An 18,434-nucleotide genomic window follows, 5' to 3' on the forward strand; every position below is an offset into this window, starting at 1 on the left:
TTATTTGTTAATATTCATGTGAGAATAGATTAAAAAATTCATACTGTTCTTCTCAGTAATAATTGCACAGAACATTTCTCAGATGCAGACATAGTGTTTTACTGAAAGCATAAAACAAAGAAACTGGTGGTGAAACTAAATTATAATAGCATATGTTACTGTTGGGAGCAAGCCCCCCAAAATCTGGCCATAAACTGGCCCCAAGACTGGCCATAAACAAAATCTCTGCAGCACTGTAACATGTTCATAATGGCCCTAATGCCCAAGCTGGAAGGTTGTGGGTTTACGGGAGTGAGGGTGAGGAACACCTGGCCCGCTCAGGGCGAAAACCGCTTAAAGGCATTGTTAAGCCACAAACAATGAGCATGAGCGGTCTGTGTCTTAAGGGCGTGTTCCTGCTGCAGTTAATCCGGCCCATCCCTTCGTTTCCCTTAAGGGATACTTTTAGTTAATTTAACATCTATAGAAACAATGCTAATGACTGGTTTGCTGTTAATACGTGGGTAAATCTCTGTTCGGGGGTGTCAGCTCTGAAGGCTATGACACCCCTGATTTCCCACTTGACACCTCTATATTTCTGTGTGTGTGTCTTTAATTCCTCTAGCGCCGCTGGGTTAGGGTCTCCCCGACTGAGCTGGTCTCGGCATGTTACCTTTGTTTAAAATTTATGAAAGAGGCCAAGTAATTGAGCTTATGAATGTAAACATCCACAGTGGCCACGTGAAGATACCAAAAATTTCAAGAGCAAAACATGTCTTGTGAAACATATTGCTTTGAGGGATTAAAATAAAATCAAGTATGTCATATACCCCAAATCACAACTTTCGAGGGGAAGAAGAAGAACTCAATTTCCTGTTTTTCTGAAATTTCCTGATCTGATGACTTTCCAACCTGGACATTTCGAGGGATGACAAATTAACTACTTTTTATACTAATCCCATTTTAGTTGCTCTGTTGCTCCAAGTGTATTTCTTCGTGTTATTTCCTTTTCACTGGTTGTTCTTAGGTTACCACAGTCTACTTAGAGTTAATAATGTACCACTTCACATAAAGTTAAGAAATTTATAATTACTTTACAGTTCCTCAATTGTATGTGCAAATGCTATCAGATTTTACATACCCATTAATTATAGACTTTACACAACAAAATGTTTTAAGTTTTGCTTAACTAGTGCATTGTCTTTTACAGAAATTAAAAGAAGAAAATAGCTTTTCTATATTTCCACATATACACAATTTCCTGTGCTCCTCGTTTTTTTTCTTATAGATCTTAATTTCACCTATTATCACTTACCTTCAGGCTAGAGACTTTCCTATAGTAGTTCTTGTTATTTTTGAGACAGTGTCTCACTCTGGTTGCCTAGGCTGGAGTACAGTGGCACAACCTCAGCCCACTGCGGCCTCGACCTCCTGGGCTCAGGTGATTCTTCCACCTCAGCGTCCCAAGTAGCTGAGATTACAGGCACATGCCACCATGCCCAGCTAATTTTTTTTTTTTTTTTTGGAGGGGGGAGACAAGATTTGGCTTTGTTACATGGACTGGTCTAAAACTCCTGGATTCAAGCAGTCTGCCTGCCTTGACCTACCAAAGTGCTGGGATACAGGTGTGAGCCACTATACCTAGTCCCTTTAGTATTTCTTGTAGTGCAGAACAGCTACAGACAAAATCTTTTTAGATTTTTAAATCTAAAAATGTTTTTATTTTGTATGAATTTTGTAATGATATTTTTACTGGTTATAGAATTCTGGGTGTACAGATTTTTTTTATTTTATTCCCCAACAATTTTGACCTCCATTTTTATCTGACAGAATGCATATTGTTGGTTTTAAGAATAACTTTTTATCATTGGTTTTTCTGCAGTTAGTCTATGATGTATGCTTCTTTCTGTATTCTACTGTGGTTTTCTGAGTTTCACAGATACATAAGTAGATATTATTCACAAAATTTGAAAAACTTGCAGTCATTATTTCTTTACTGCACCATACCCATTTCTCTCTCTTCTCCTTCTGGAAATTCAGTTCAATTAATTGTATGTTGGACCATATGATACTGACTCACAGCTCACCAAGACTTTATTTACATTTTTTTGATTTTTTTCTCTTTAAGTTAAATAATTTCTATGGATCCGTCTCAAAAATATGCTGACCCTTATTTCAATCTACTGTTAAGTCCATTACAGTATTAACACTTTTCAGTGCTAGTATTTCTATTTGGTTCATTTGTGCAGCTTCCATGTCTTTTGATGAGATTTCACATCTGTTCATTCACTAAGACCATCATTTTCTTAACTTTTTAACTTATAATAACTGTTTGATAAGGTTTGGATCTGTGTCCCTCCCAAATTTCATGTTGAAATGTAATCCCCAGTGTTAAAGGTGGCCTGTTGGGAGGTGTTTGGATTATAAGGGAGAATCTCCTGTGAATGGCTTAGTGCCATTGCCTTAGTGATGAGTGTGTTCTTGCTCTGGTAGTTCCTGTGAGATCTGGTTATTTAAAAGAGTGTGTCCTCTCCCCTCTCTGTCTCACTCCAGCTCTTGCCATTAATACACCTGCTCCCCGTTTGCTTTCTGCCGTGATTGTAAGCTTCTTGATGCCTCACTAGAGGCAGATGGTATCACTGTGCTTCCTGTGCAGCCTGCAGAACCATTTAAACCTGTACAGCCTGCAGAGCCAATTAAACCTCTTTTCTTTATAAATTACCCAGTCTCAAGTGCTTCCTGTACAGCCTGCAGAACCAATTAAACCTCTTTTCTTTATAAATTACTCAGTCTCAAGTATTCCTTTATAGCAATGCAAGAACACCCTAACATACTGTTTTACTACTTTATATCAACATGTATTTCACCTTGTCATGTATTTCTATGGGCTGGTTTTTTTTTTTTTTTTTTTTTTGGATGATGAGTCATGATTTTCTTTTTCTTACAATGGATATTACTTTTTTATTATGCACAGGGCATTGCAAATAATATATCTGAGTTATGTCTTCTTCCTCTAAGGAGAAAGCATTCTCTGGCAGGCATTTGAGGGCTGATCACCTTTAACATCCGGAGCCATTGGTTTATACTTTAAGGCATGACTATTGAATACCTGAAGATTTTACTAGGCTCCTCTATCCTTTGTGTTACTCAGATTCCAAACAGTATTTCATTTGCTGTATACAGCAATTGAAATCTCTGTCCAGTCCTTTCAGCTGCTGCCTTCTCCTTTCTGCTGGCATCATTGGAGCGTCCCCAATAGACACACAGTTCCACGGTCAGTCAAGGATTTGAGGACTTTTAATTGGCAGGTATTAATATTATTGTCTCTGTGTCTCCCTACTTTCTGGGATTACTCTTCATTTATAAGCACCCTGGTAGCCTGAAATCTCTACACCGATATCACAACTCAGTAATTCTGATGCATCCTACTTGAGTTCTAGCTACGTTACATCTGAGAACTGGGAGTACCCACAGGGAAAGTGTCTATAAGCGTGGGTCTCACTCAGTCATTGTAATTCCCTTCTTCACTAGTTGAATTAAGACATTTTTGCATCACCACAAAAAAATACCTGAGGCTGGGTAATTTAAAAGAATAGTGATTTAGTTGGCTCGCAGTTCTGCAGCTTATACAGGAAGCACCTAAATCTGGTCTGCTTCTGGGGAGGACTCAGGGAGTTCTTACTCATGGAAGAAGGCAAAGGAGGAGTAGGCATGTCACATGGGAAAAGGGAAAGGTCCCAGACTCTTTTAAAGTCTTTAAGTTCTCACATGAATTAATTGAGCAAAAAGTCAGTTATCAGTAAGGGGCTGGTCTAAACCATTCATCAGGGACCCATCCTCATCATGTAATCACCTCCCACCAGGCCCCACCTCTAATATTGGGAATCACATTTCAGCAGGAGATTTTGAGGGGACAAATATCCAAACCATATCATTCTACTCCTTGCCCCTCAAAACTTATGTCCTTTTCAAATTTTAAAATACAATATTGCCTTCACAATAGTTCCCCAAAGTTATAACTTTTTCCAGTATTACTCAAAAGTCCCAAATTCCAAGTCACAAGTCCAAAGTTTCATATGGAGTTGTTTTTTTTTTCCACCTATGACAGTGAGATTAAAATCAAGTTATTTACCTACAAGATACTGTGGTGGTACAGGCATTGGGTAAACATTCCCATTCCAAAAGGGAGAAATTGGCCAAACGAAAGGGGCAATAGGCCCCACACAAGTCTGCATCCCAACAGAGCAGTCATTGAATCTCAAAGCTCCAAAATCTCCTTTGACTCCATGTCCCACATCCAGGGCACACTGATGCAAGTAGTGGGCTCCCAACACCTTGGGCAGCTCCACCCCTGTGGCATTCCAGGATGTAGCCCCCATGGCTACTCTCATAGGTTGGAGTTGGTTGCCTGTTTTGGTTCCAGGATGAGGTTGCAAGCTGTCAGTGGCTCTACCATTCTGGGGTCTGAAGGCTGGCAGCCCCCTCCCCACAGCTCCATTAGGTAGTGCCCTCGTGGGGACTCTGTGTTGGGGCTCCAACCCCACATTTCCCACAGCTCCATTAGGTAGTGCCCTCGTGGGGCCTCTGTGTTGGGGCTCCAACCCCACATTTCCCCTCTGTGCTGTCCTAGTAGAGATTCTCTGTGAGGACTCTGCCCCTGTAGCAGGCTCCTGCCCGGGCAGCCAAGCTTTCTTATACATCCTCTGAAATCGAGTGGAAAGCTGCCAAGTCTTCTTCAAACTTGCATACCATGGGCCTGCATACTTAACACCACATGGATGCTGCCAAGACTTATGGCTTATCCCCTCCAAAGCAATGGCTCAAGCTATGCCAGAGGCTCTTTGAACTCTAGCAGCTGGAGAGGCCAGGATTTGGGGAACAATGTCCAGAGGTTGCACAGGGCAGCAGGGCCATGAGCCTGCTCCACTAAACAATTTTTTCTGCCTGGGCCTCTGAACCTTTGATGGGAGGGTCTACCATAGAGATTTCTCAAATGCCTGCTAGATCTTTTCCTCATTGTCTTGGATATTAGCACTTGGTTCCCTTTTAGTCATGCTAATCTCTCTAACAAGTTGCTGCTCTGCAACCTGCATATATTTCTCTCTTGAAAATGCGTTTCCCTTTTTAGCCACATGGCCAGGTTCTGAATTTTCCAAATGTTTAAACTTTGCTTCCCTTTTATATTTAAGTTCCAACTTTAAATCACTTCTTTGCTCCAGTACCTGATGGTAAACTGTTAGAAACAGCCAGACCACATCTTGAATGCTTTGCTGCTTAGAAATTTCTTCCACCAGATAGCCTCCTAGGTCATTACTCTTGAGTTCAAACTTCCACAGAACCCTAAGTCATGGACACACTGCAGCTAAGTTCTTTGCGAGGGCGTAACGGGGGCTACCTTCACTCCTGTTCCCAATAAATTCCTTATTTCCATCTGAGACCTCCTCAGTCTGGACTTCACTGTCCATATTTTAATCAGCATTTTGATCACAGCCATTTCACCATTTAAGAAGTTCCAAACTTCCCCTCATCTTTCTGTCTTGTTCTGAACCCTCTAAACTCTTCCAGCCTCTGCCCATTACCTAGTTCCAAAGCCATTTCCACATTTTCAGGTATCTTTATAGCAATACTGCACTCCTGGGACCAATAGTCTGTATCAACATGATGTTTTTGTGTTGCTCCAAAGACATATCTGAAGCTGGCTGAATTATAAAGAAAAGAGATTTAATTGGCTCATAGTTCTGCAGGCTGTACAGGAAACATGGTGCCTGCATCTTCTTGGCTGCTGGTGAGGCCTCCAGAGCCTTTTCTCATGGCAAAAGGCAAAGCGGGGGCAGACACATCACATGGTGAATGAGGGAACAAGAGAGAGAAGGGGGAAGTCCCGTACTCTTTTAAACAACCAGATCTCATGTGAAATAACTGAGTAAGTACACACTTATCAAGGAGATGGTGCTAAACCGTTCATGAGGAGGTGGGACCTACCCTCGACCCACCCTCATGATCCAATCATCACCGACTAAGCCCTACTTTCAACATTGGGAATCGCATTTCAACATGAGATTTGGAGAGGACAGATATCCAGACAATATTACCAGTCAGATGCCTTACAATTTCTGTCAGCTTTTGATTGTTCTCCAGTGCCTTCAAATAGTTTTTATTTTATATTTTCCCAGAGTTTATTATTGTTATCTAGGGAAAGATTATTGCAATCCAAGCTAACTTATCATCATTGGAGCTCCAACTCTCACAAATTCATAACTTTTGAAAGCAATTTATTTTCAGACATGCCAAACTGTTAGAAATTTTTTTTATTAAACTAAATGTACATGTATCCTTTATCCCAAAAGAGAATATTTTTCTTACTTATTTAATATAATAACGCTGTAAATTGTTGTAAATAGCTATTAACTTTTCCTTAAGTATTTTCTTCCTAAGACCAAACAGCCTTATTTCCTTTTGCTGTCTCTATTTGTCATTATTGCAGATCCCTTACATTAAGACTACCTTCCTTAGGTTTATTCATTGCCTTCTAATATTTGATCTGATGTTTAGATAATACAATAATATATCAATAGGTCTCTATTAATGAGGCCTAATTGCATTAGTTTTATTGGCATATTATTTACTCCTAGTATTATAAGTAATACTATATTTGTGGTTCATTAAACCCTAACATTATTACCTTAGAGTCAGTCTTTTCATTGTGTACTAGAAAGAATATTATCATTGTTAATATCTGATAGATGAGCTTTTATTTCCTGAGCTCAATTCTTTAGTCCAATAAGTTCTATATGCAAAGGATAAGAGATATGGAAACCAAATAATTTTAATAAAAAAGTAGGCAAACGTGTTAAGAAATGAGCCCACGGCTGATGTTGTGGGTGGAGGTAGAGGAGTATAGTGAGAGAAAGGCTCTTTCTAGCACCTGAAGTAATGGCTTGGTGGTTTTACCAGTAAACAATATAAAGCAAATTGTCCACTGTTTTCAATACTACCCTCATGATTTTTTGATTTAAAGTGCTTCATTGGTTTCACAATTTTTATACCTTTTCACATAGGCCAAGATGATAAATAAATTTGCCCTCTGACCAATCAGTGTGAGAAAAATATTTGAAAAATGGGAAACATTTCTATTTGTGTGCAGCATTAGATAGGAACGGGACACCAGCAACAATGTGTTTCAGGATATAGTTTCTCATTATCAGATGCTCTTCACAGATGGATTTGACATAAATGTTATGGGAGTTAAGAACACAATCAGATGAGCCATGTTTAGGAGGCTCTCATCTAACCAGCTTTTTAAAACTGCAGATATGGTTATTGTGTGGACAGCTGATTTTTGATTTTAGAAATAGAAACTCACACTGTGCCTATATAATTTTATCTTCCTTATTAAGCCCATTTGGCTTCTCAGCCTTGTGACTAAAATCAGATGTAGCATATTAAGGTTAATAATTGAATCTGTATTATGTTTACCTATCATGTTAGCCATTTTCTTAGATTTTGTCACATGGAATTTGATAATCTTTTTCTTTATGTCTAAATTTATGTCACTGAAACAAATGTTGGGTTAGATAAAGAATCTAATAGGTCATTTCTGAGATTAACCTCTAGGATGACAGAAATTCAGTAATCAATACCTTCTGTAATTGTTCAACCAGCTAAAAATCCATTTAGACTTTCCTTTTACATAATCCACATTTTAAAATGTCTTGCTCACAGCAATGAATATTAAAATCTCTGCTTAATGTGTTAAAAACAGTGTTTATTATGACATGCTCATGATCTCTCTACTCCACCAGTCAGGAGGGAAGGGGAAATGAGTCCATTTTATAAGATTTGATTGAGAACACAATACTGCCTTTGTTAAATGCTCAAATGCTATTATTTACAACTTCTGTACTATAAATTTGCCTGAAACTGACATTACAATGCGTTGTTAGTTGAGTTGTGTCCCCCAAAAAGATATTTTGATATGATTTTATTTAGAAATTGTCTGTATAGATGTAATCAAAATAAAAGAAAACCAATACCGTATTAGGGTGCACCCTAATCCAATAACTGTGGCCTTATAAGAAGAGAGAAATTTGGATACAGAGACAGACACACAGAGAGAACCCATGTGACAATAAAGACAGAGATTAGAGTGATGCGTCTAGATAAGGAGCACCAAGGATTGCCAGCAACCACTAGAGTCTAAGAGAGAGGCATGAAACAAATTCTTTCTGAGTCTGCAAGAAGGAAATAACCCTACCAACATATATATATATATTTTCAGTTTTCTGGCCTTCACAACTGAGAGAAAATAAAATTCCGTTGTTTTAAATGATCTCGTGTGTGGTAATTTTTTAAGGCAATACTAGGAAACTATTACAAAATGTGTGAGTGTTTCTGTGTGTAATTTCTACAAGTCAATATTTTCTTTTCTTGAAAATTGGGACACAATTCGCTTTTTACTAGTTTTCTGAATCTTCACACATTCTGTGATGTTGAAAAGAAAATTGAGAGTGATTTCAATACAATATTTTCATGATTTTTGTCCCCATGGCTATAGTTGATATGATTTTAAAAGCTTGAACTCATTTATGCTATCTGGGTCAAATTGACCTTGATACATGGAGTAGAAAGTGAGTTGCATCTCCAAGAACACAAGAATAAAGAATGTAAAAGAGCAACTGAAGTATTTGGGGGAACATACGGAACTTCTATCAATTATCATTTAAATACATCGAGAAGCATATTTAGAAATGATTGCTTACAAATGGAAAAGGATCTTAAATCTTTCTGAAGTAAAATTGCTCTAAAAACACAATGGTTAAATTTTGTTGGAAAAAACTTTATATATACTTACATATAGATATATACGCCATGCTTATATGTATGCATACACTAGATATGCTTACATGTGATTACATAAGCATGGGGAAAAATGGAAGAACAAACTACTTTTATAAATATGGGTTATCTGGGGTGTGGCAGTAGTGGAAAGAGGAAAAAAATGAGAAAACTGTGGCTTGAGAGGATAAGTAACTTGACCCAACAAGTGATGGAGCTGAGATCTGAACCAAAGTCTGTATTGAATCTAAAGCTTACTGTCATAAACTTTGTTTAAAATGTTATGATATTCAATTCAATGTAGAAAGAGACAGTAAAACAATCTTTTTCAAAAGCGTGCTCTGTTCCTTGAAATTTAATTATAGGGTATCTCTTTTTTCCTTTCACAAAGCATATTAACCAACTTTTCTGTCTATTCATAGAGATATATTTAAATCTTACTTTTTAATTTAACAATATTTTATCTTAGGTATACTTCAGACAGATTAATACAAATATATCTGTGAAATGTCTAAAACTATTTTAAATTTAGAGTATTTATACTTTACTAATGGCTAGGCCATGTGATCATTACGTATTTATATATTTTTACAAAATCCTAAAATGGTTAATGCAGTTCAACAAAAATTTGAGGAACTAGAAAATTTTTGAGGCTGGCATTCCCAAAAGCAAAAATGAGAAAAAGGAAATATTTCTTGAAGTCAGGCAAGTAATTTAACTATATATCGATGAAAAGAGTATTTTAAATTCAAATTTTGTACACGGCAGCCTCGTATGTCACAATCTGCATAATTATTATAACATCAGGGCATTTAATTCAATAGTGTGAATGTTTAAGTTGTGATTAAAGACACACAAGTTTGCCATTGTCCTTAAATGTCGATAAATAACAAATTCTTTTTGTATAGTGTCTATATGCAAAGTGAATTATTTGCTGATTTAAAGAATTTTGGCTGAATCAGATCTACTGACATTTTATGTATATATTTAGGAATGTGAGTTATTCAAGTATGTGTCAGTGATTTAAAATAATGAATGTTAAAAAATTTACTAAAGTCTTAAACATGTAATGAAAAGAGTCTATTTTTTCTACAAAATTGCTCAAGACTTCTGAAATACAAAGCTGATAATGTCACTTCCAGGTTAAAGTCTTTCATTTTTCAGGGAAGATTTTTCATTTTAAAGCCTACAGTTTTCAAGAAAACTCTTAATATGTATTGTAGAACATACAGCCCTAATTTTCTTGCATTTGCTTAATTTTTTTTTTTTGCTTCACCATGTAGCACTTCCCTGTTTTCCATGTTCTAGTGATATGCTAGATACTATATCTATCTATCTATATACATATATCTGTATCTGTATCTATATAAATTCACCATTGTATTATGTTGGTTCATGACACTGTGAGGTTTATGACTTCATAAATATTTTGCCACTGCTTTATCCTCATTTCTCCATCTGGCTACATTCCATTCATTCTCCCAGACTCATTTTAAATATCACCCACTTTGGGAATCCTTCCATGACCTCTCCATTCTGATTTACTGAGTACTTTGAGCTGGTTCTATACTAGGTGCTGGAGATTCAGTAGAAAATAAGACAGGGTTTCTGCCCTCCTAGAACTTACATTCTTGTCAGATCAGAGCCAATAAACAACGAAGTGGATTGCAAAATAATTTTAGAGCATGAAAAGTAGTTTGGAAGTAATAAAGCAAGGTGATATGGAAGATGGTGAGGTGGGACTACATTACAAATAGTATTCAGGAAAGGCATCTTGGTCACTGGAGAAAGTAACATTCATGCCAAATGATTAGAAAAAAACAACTAGGCAAACATATGGTGTTTACTAGTATTCCAGAAATAGAGAACAACTAGCATAGAGATCCTGAGGGAGGAATATTGTATGCTGACAGAACAAAACAATACAAAACAAAACAAAAATAGGTGGTGCCGGAGCAGGAGAGAGAGTGGCATGAGAATAATATGTAGTTCATGAATTCATTTTATTTTTATTTCAACTCCTTTTATATGTTTCTCCATGCAACTCCTTGCCTAGCCCTTCCTAATTCTGTTGTATTTACCCATAAAACTAATTGCTGGCATAGGAATTCCCAAAGTGATATTACTCTCTGCAAATTACTTTTGTAATTGTGGCCTGTATATTTAAATTTAAACTGGGTCTGGATATATAATGATTTATATTCAATATATATTTCAACTAGATATTTTCTGAAATGTTATTATTACACATAATAAGGCCATGATACAATTATAAGAGATGCAAATAATTTCAGCTGCATCCACAGGGTGTTTTGCAAGGAGGAACAATCTAGAACTAGAAACCTAACAAATTTGAATAAGGTTTGAAACTAAATTTATACAGAGAAGAATATCAGCCAGTTTTCATAATTTGGAAAGCTAGTAAATTCTAGCTTTGGAGCTTAACATGATGAGGGGGTTGAAACACACATAAAAACAGCATTATGTTATTTCATTCAACAGATATTTTTAAAGTACTTATCTACCCTGAGCTATCTGTTTGGATTCCTTGGGAATAAAAATAAGGAACAAATAGTGAAATAAAGCATCCATTTGAAAGCACAAAACAACCCCAAAAACATGTTATTTACTTGCATCTGTAAAACGCAAAAGGAATAACATAAACTGACTCAGAAGCCTGTGGTCTCTGTCTTATATCTGTGAAGCCATGTGTAAAAGAAACTCTGGGGTGGGTACAGGTGACAGACATTCTCCTCATGACCTTAATGATGTAATTACTGCCTACCTATCACAGGATGCTATTCACACTCATTAGCAGTCCCAGTATCTTATCTCTTCCATATTAATACTTTTTCACCTACCTATTAGGATGCAGAAATTGAAAAAATACTTTATAACTAGAAACAAAGAAATCCTTGACCTGTGAAAGGAAAACTAAAAAAGAGTTGTAATTACTGTTACCTGTCATTTCTCAGTAATACCTTAATCTTGCTACACTTTGGGTAGAGAAGGAAAGAGGAAGGGCAAGGAATGGAGGGTCAGAGTGAGACAGGGTAGCCTGAAGAATGTTTAAGTTTTTCCAGCTGTATATAGTTGTTAAGTGTCTACAGGGCTATGTTTACATAGAAATGTAATTATAGAACACAATTTTAGGAAAGCAAGTCTCATTGATGAGACTTAAGTTAGTGCATGGATGTATTAATTGGACTTTGTGAGAAAGACTTTGGAGGGAATAAAATATGATTTTACAGTGGAGCTGAGATAAGAAATGTATATTAATAGAAAGAATTGAGATATTCTAATGCATGAGAAGTAAAACAATGCCACAAAAGCAGAAACACAACAGTTTAATAAAAGTAGATCCAAAATTGCTCATGCTACTCAGCTCAGTTAGAATGGACTTCATCTGTCAGATGCATCAAAAGATAAAAACAAGGGCAGCAGGTTTAATGGAAAGAATAACAAATTGTGCACCAGAAAGTCTGTACTGATTTTTTTCATTAACTTGGAAGAAGTTCGAGAAAAGCCAAGCATAGTGCCTGAGACATAACTAGCCCTAAATTATTTGCAGAATTAAGGAATGAATCCAAGTAAAGAAGTAAGGAGGAGCAGCCATAGCTAAAATGGGACCTCTTGTTTGTGTAGAGTTTGCTATGAAATAAGCAACCAGGTTACATTAATTTCAACTATATAAAGTATTCGAACTAAAAAGAACAGTAAGTGAATGGTACTACCTAAATTTTTTCTTAAATTTATTTCTTAAATTTTATGTACTGTCTTGATAATATTTTTTAAAATTACAGTTATTACAAGTTTAAAAACAAACAAGCAAAAAAGGAATACAGAGATTCAAGTTTCTGTTTGAACCAAGACAAGCCATTGAATCTTCATTCTTATCTACTGTTGGCATAATAATGCCAACTGTAATGCTTCAAAGAATCTTTTTGATGATCAAAAGAGATAAGACTGAGTTCCATGAGAGTAGCAGTCTTTACTTCCGAATCCTCAAGGATTATTACAGTCCTGGCACAGTAGGTGATTAATAAGTACTTACTGTACATTGAGCAATTGAATACTTATTCAAATGAAGCTTTCTTAATAACTTTGTAAACAATACTTTTTTCTTTGATCTTTCTAGTTTGCCAGTTTGATTAATGATTTGTTTTACTTTTTCATACCTGGCCATCATTTCTGAACTGATAGAAACAACAGTTTCTGCAAATTTTCACAAAACATTTCTCCCAATAGGAAAGCACATTAAAACATTCTTTGCTCTAAACTTTGAATACATTCTTCTTCTAGGCTATTTGTAAACAGTGAATCTAGAATGAAAGAATTATTCACCTTTTCAACAATGTGTTCTCTATCTCTTGAAGAAAAAAAATGAAAGTTTTGCAAATAATTATAAAGTTTCTGTAACATTAAATGGCATCAAAAGAAAAATTTCAGCTAATGGAGAGCAAGACAGAGTTAAGAGAGAGGGAAGAGAAAGATGAGATAAATGTGGTGATACAAACAATTAGGTTGAGGTAAATAGACACAATATTGGCAAAACCCAAAGGCTAAGGAGGGTACACTGAAAGAACATTTTGGTCAGAGAAGTAAAATTTGTATAACCATACTTGTTTAGTTCTAAACAAATCTTGGGATCTGAGTGAACAAATTTTGATTGCTATAATTATGGCAGATTACACAGAATTGATATATACTGTACAAAAACAACCAATTAATCTAGCAAACCAACAAGAAGTGCAAAAATAACACTTCAAGAAGAAAGCCACTAACTGTGACTCTGACTTCAAGGTATAACAAGTATGTAGGACCACCTGCTAAGTAGGTACTAAGCATGAGTAAGTGTGTATCTGACCACCTGCTAAGCTACACAGGTGGTCAGAAACACAGTCACAGTGGGCCTCCACAGTGAATCCTGTGTGAATATAAGGAAAATGGACAACAGCATCTCAGAATGGAAGCATAGTGATATTTTATTATAGTTTGGATATTTCATTATCGTTTGGATTATATTATTTGGATTTCCTATACCTATGTTTACTCTGTGACCAAGAAAATTTCTGGACATAACAAGCACAATCTAAACTATGTGAAGATGCTTTTTACAAATATATTTCTTCCGCAACAGCAGATCTAGAAAGACAATAAGATAACAAAGCTGAGTGATATAGCTGCTTTTTTTTTAATTTGGACATTGAGAATTAAGTAACAAGTTAAATAAAGGTGGTTTACAGAAATAAAATTAAAAATAAATTATGTCAAAACCAGGATGAATATTCTAGCTATGAAATGTATGTAAAAATCTGGATCAAATGCCAGAAGAAAAATGCAAAAGCTCATCAAGAATGAGAAAAGCAATGCAAATTTGGCCCAGGGTTTGAAGGATGTGGGGGAAGGGAGCCAAAGAAGTTTTCAAGAAAATCTGACTAAATCAACACTTTGAAGATTGTACTTTTGATGAAAAAAAAAGATAAAAATTTCATAAATTCCTCATGTCTACTTTCCAATATAGAAGATTTATCAGTTTTTCCTACTTTAAAAATACAGATGGAGATGCTAGAAATATCATGTCATGAACATCTGGAAATGCTGATCCCATTTAGGAAGCAACTGTGGGCATTGATCTCTGATGGAAGAAGCCTGGGAAATATTTCAATTTCTTATACTCAATGTTGAAAAGCATGGAACTGACACTGCTATTAAACCCATGCCATTACATATACACTCAGCCATCTGTATCCATGGGTTTCGCATCTGTGGAATCAACCAATTTTGGGTTGAAAATATTCTTTTAAAAGATTGCATCTGTACTGAACATGGACAGACTTTCTTCTATTGTCATTATTCTCAAAACAATACAGTATAATAACTATTTACATAGCATTACATTGTATTTGGTATTATAAGTAATTTAGAGATGATTTAAAGTACACAGGAGGATGTGTGTACATTATGTGCAAATACTATGCCATTGTACATAAAGGACTTGAGCATGTGTGAAACCTGGAGGAGGTTCTGGAACCAATTTTCCACGGATACCAAGGGTCTTTCGTATTTTAACAGTGGAACTAAAGGCCTTTACCTTTTTTCCTCTTTTTAAAGATGACTCTGGTAAAAAAGAATTGTATTTCAAGAATATGCTATGAATTTCTTTTTGAACTATCTCATCAAAATGTAAAATGGCATTAAACTGGTATATTTCTGCTTTTTTAAAATATGATTTGCTTTGCCATGTCTCTGGGTGACACTCATGATGTGTTCTAAAATTCTGGCAGACAAACTACATTAACCCAGAGTAATTTAATGGATAGATACTGAAATTGTCTTTCAAGCCCCACATTGCAAATGCACTTGGGGCTCAGCAACTATCTAGAAACATGGTTCTCAAAACTGGCTGTCCTGGAGACTAATGTGGCAAGATTTTGAAAAATACTAGTGTGTGAGTTCCATACTGAGAGATTCTGGTTTAATTGCTACAGCATGGGGCTCAAAAACAAAGGACTGGGTCCAGCTCTAGTATTTGGCAACAACCAAGTTAATTATCTCTCTCCATCTCTTACCTTTATATATTACATTTTTTATTGTTGTTGTTTGTTCATTAATTAAAGGCTGTTTTCTGCTTTGGATTTCACATCACAGAAAATAGTCCCTGAACCCATGAACCAATTGACTGTGTATAGAAAAGATGATCATCTTGTAAAAGCATAAATGCTTTTGTAGTAACATGTAGACAAAGATATAGGGTATGGTAGATCACCAGTTTCCAGAAAAGGTTCAGAGAAGGTAATATTAGTGTTCAGTAATAGAGAAACTATCTTGAATCTTTAACTTCTTATGTTGACATGTGAAACAGAACACTTCAACAAAACTTCTCTAATTACATTTTTGATTTGATAGGTAAACTGAATTTTTACTAATGAAACTCTTATGTTTACTTTAAGCTGACTAAATTGTATTTATTATTTTTAATGAATACATTTGTTTCTTCTGCTATGCACATACACCCACCACTCTGTGCCAGGCATTAGGCTCCTGATCCTGTTTGGCTGTTGAATAGCCTGATGAAGGGCATGGGGAGGCAGTAGAGGAGTGGGGAGGAGGGGACGTGGGAGTGTTAGGTGATGGTAAAGAGACATGACTTTCTTTTCTGATGACCTGGTACAGCATGGACCAAGCCCAAATCTTTTCTAAGTTCAAAGAGTGGACCTGCTGATTTTTAAGCAAGAATTTCATCAGCTTTGTTATTGATGTCTCTATGACTCTGAATCTAATCCCCTTCCACCCTATGTTCTTGAAACTAGTTCTTCTTTATTTTTCACCCATCATTACAAATGCAGTCAAGTTTGTATTTTTAAGGCTTCTGAAGGTACAACTTGTCTAGTTAGAAAAAATTAATAATTGGTTTTCTTTGCTACCACAAATACTTTGTCCTCTACATCTCTTCATTCATCCCGCTGCTAATGGGCTTTGTCAAAGAAGAGAGGGCTTTAGCAGTATCCCTTTCACAATTGCAGCTTCCTGAGAACATTGGAAAAATACTCACCTTGGCTTCAGTGTGGCCTATGCTGAGATATGGTAGCAGTAGTCATGTCCCAGGAGATTAGCACTCCCAGCAAGTCCCTGCTTCTCAGAACAACTGGGTTTCGCTATGATGAACAGTATGCACTGGTAAAAAGAATCACAGCCCTTTGAAGATAACAACACTTTGAAACTTTGAGCAAGTTTGGCACACCTTCACTCTTTCCTCCCTCCATCAATTTTTACTTAAGAAACGTCAACTGTTTTTGAAGCATTTTTGTTTAAAAAGTCAGTGTTATTGACTTAATGTTTGTGTCCTTTCAACCCACCCAAATTCATATGTTGAAATTCTAACTCCCAATATGACGGTGTTAGGAGCTGGGGCCTTTGGGAGGTAATTAAGTCATGAGGGTGGAGCTGCACAAATGGGATTAGTGTCCTTAGAAGAAGAGACAAGAAAACTTCTTCTGCCTCTGTTCTCTGCCACGTGAGGACACAAAGAGAAGACAAGCATCTGTAAACCAAGAAGACGACCTTTGCCAAGAACCTGACCATGTTGAAACCCTGATCTTGGACTTCCAGCCTTAAGAGTTGTGAGAAATAAATGTTGGTTTTTTTAAACCTCTCAGTCTATGGTACTGTATTATAGTAGTCCAGACTAAAACAGGTACCCGTCCCACCTTTCCCCCCAAAACAGGATAATTGCTCTCTTCCACAACTGGGATAGAAATAAACTGTATTATCATGACAGTTTACAAAGAAGCAACTTTACTTCTTGATGAGAAAGACATCAGTCACTGTATTAGTCAGGCTTCTCTAGAGGGACAGAATTAACAGGATATATATATTTTATATATTATATATAAACGGGAGCTTACTAAGTATTAACTCACATGATCACAAGGTCCCACAATGAGCTGTCTGCAAGCTGAGGAGCAAGGACAGCCAGTCCGAGTCCCAAACTGAAGAACTTGGAGTCCAATGTTTGAGAGCAGAAAGCATCCAGCACGGGAGAAAGATGTGGGCTAGGAGTCTAGGCCAGTCTAGCTTTTTCACATTTTTCTGCGTGCTTTATATTTGCTGGCAGCTGATTAGATGGTGCCCACCCAGATTAAGGGTGGGTCTGCCTTCCCCAGCCCACTGACTCAAATGTTAATCTCCTTTGGCAACACCCTCACAGACACACCCAGGATCAGTACTTTGCATCCCTCAATTCAATCAAGTTGACAGTATTAACCATCGCAATCACTTTTTAGTGATCAGCATAATTAATATAGTCCAACCATTTGATATATACACACACATACTGATTTGGTATATCTTAAATTAAATTTCTAACTCTATTTCTTAGCAAAACTGTCTTGGCACAGAAATAGTTGGGTAAATCTCACATGTTATTAAAAGTAATTAATGAAAACATTTTCATTTAGGTTTATTAAAAAACAATAATTAATGATAACACACTGGCCTTTACAAACTCCTTTTGACATACTTATCTTTAATATTTATTAAGGCCAACATAAGTAAACAAATTTTATCAAGTAAAGATGTGTAAACATAAATTGTGAGAGGTTAAATAAGTTTATGAGCTTGTGGAATGTTGTTGAATGAATTTATGAATGTTGTTATAGAGATTCAACCTACATATTCTGACTTTAAGTCCAGTTCCCTTTTCACTACATAATGTGATGTCCATTAAAAAGAACAACACCTTAAATAGGAAACTGCTAATGTTCATGCAAAATAAACACAAATAAAAAAATAAAAATGAGTCCATTAGCTTCATGCCCAGTATGATTCAGCTATCTCATGCAGCTGATAAACAAATTGATACCAACTTAATCTATGTTAGTAAATGTCTAGTGTCCAAGAAAAGAAGCTCACATCTTTTTACTATATTCTGCAATGCTAAGAACGTGTCTGGAATATCATTTAGTTCCTGGGCCTTGTCTTAAATGAAGTTGTAAAAAGTTAAAAATATCTTAAAGAATGGCCATTCTAGCAAGAGAGCATGTGGATATGGCTTCATTTGAAAAACAGCTGAAATGGGGGATATGGACGTGTTTAGCCCAGAAAAATAAAGATTTAGC

General features: G+C 36.2%; 2 annotated features.

The window, feature by feature from the left end:
• Positions 3,953-4,942: an enhancer, noted in NCBI's record as "OCT4-NANOG-H3K27ac-H3K4me1 hESC enhancer chr3:145974007-145974996 (GRCh37/hg19 assembly coordinates)". NCBI's record gives its function as "activates a minimal SCP1, AML or CMV promoter by ChIP-STARR-seq in naive H9 embryonic stem cells {active_cell/tissue: H9 hESC(naive)}" and the evidence as "EXISTENCE:reporter gene assay evidence [ECO:0000049][PMID:30033119]".
• Positions 4,943-5,931: an enhancer, noted in NCBI's record as "OCT4-NANOG-H3K27ac-H3K4me1 hESC enhancer chr3:145974997-145975985 (GRCh37/hg19 assembly coordinates)". NCBI's record gives its function as "activates a minimal SCP1, AML or CMV promoter by ChIP-STARR-seq in naive H9 embryonic stem cells {active_cell/tissue: H9 hESC(naive)}" and the evidence as "EXISTENCE:reporter gene assay evidence [ECO:0000049][PMID:30033119]".

The sequence above is a fragment of the Homo sapiens genome, chromosome 3, assembly GCF_000001405.40.
Source record: "Homo sapiens chromosome 3, GRCh38.p14 Primary Assembly".
Classification (NCBI taxonomy): domain Eukaryota; kingdom Metazoa; phylum Chordata; class Mammalia; order Primates; family Hominidae; genus Homo; species Homo sapiens.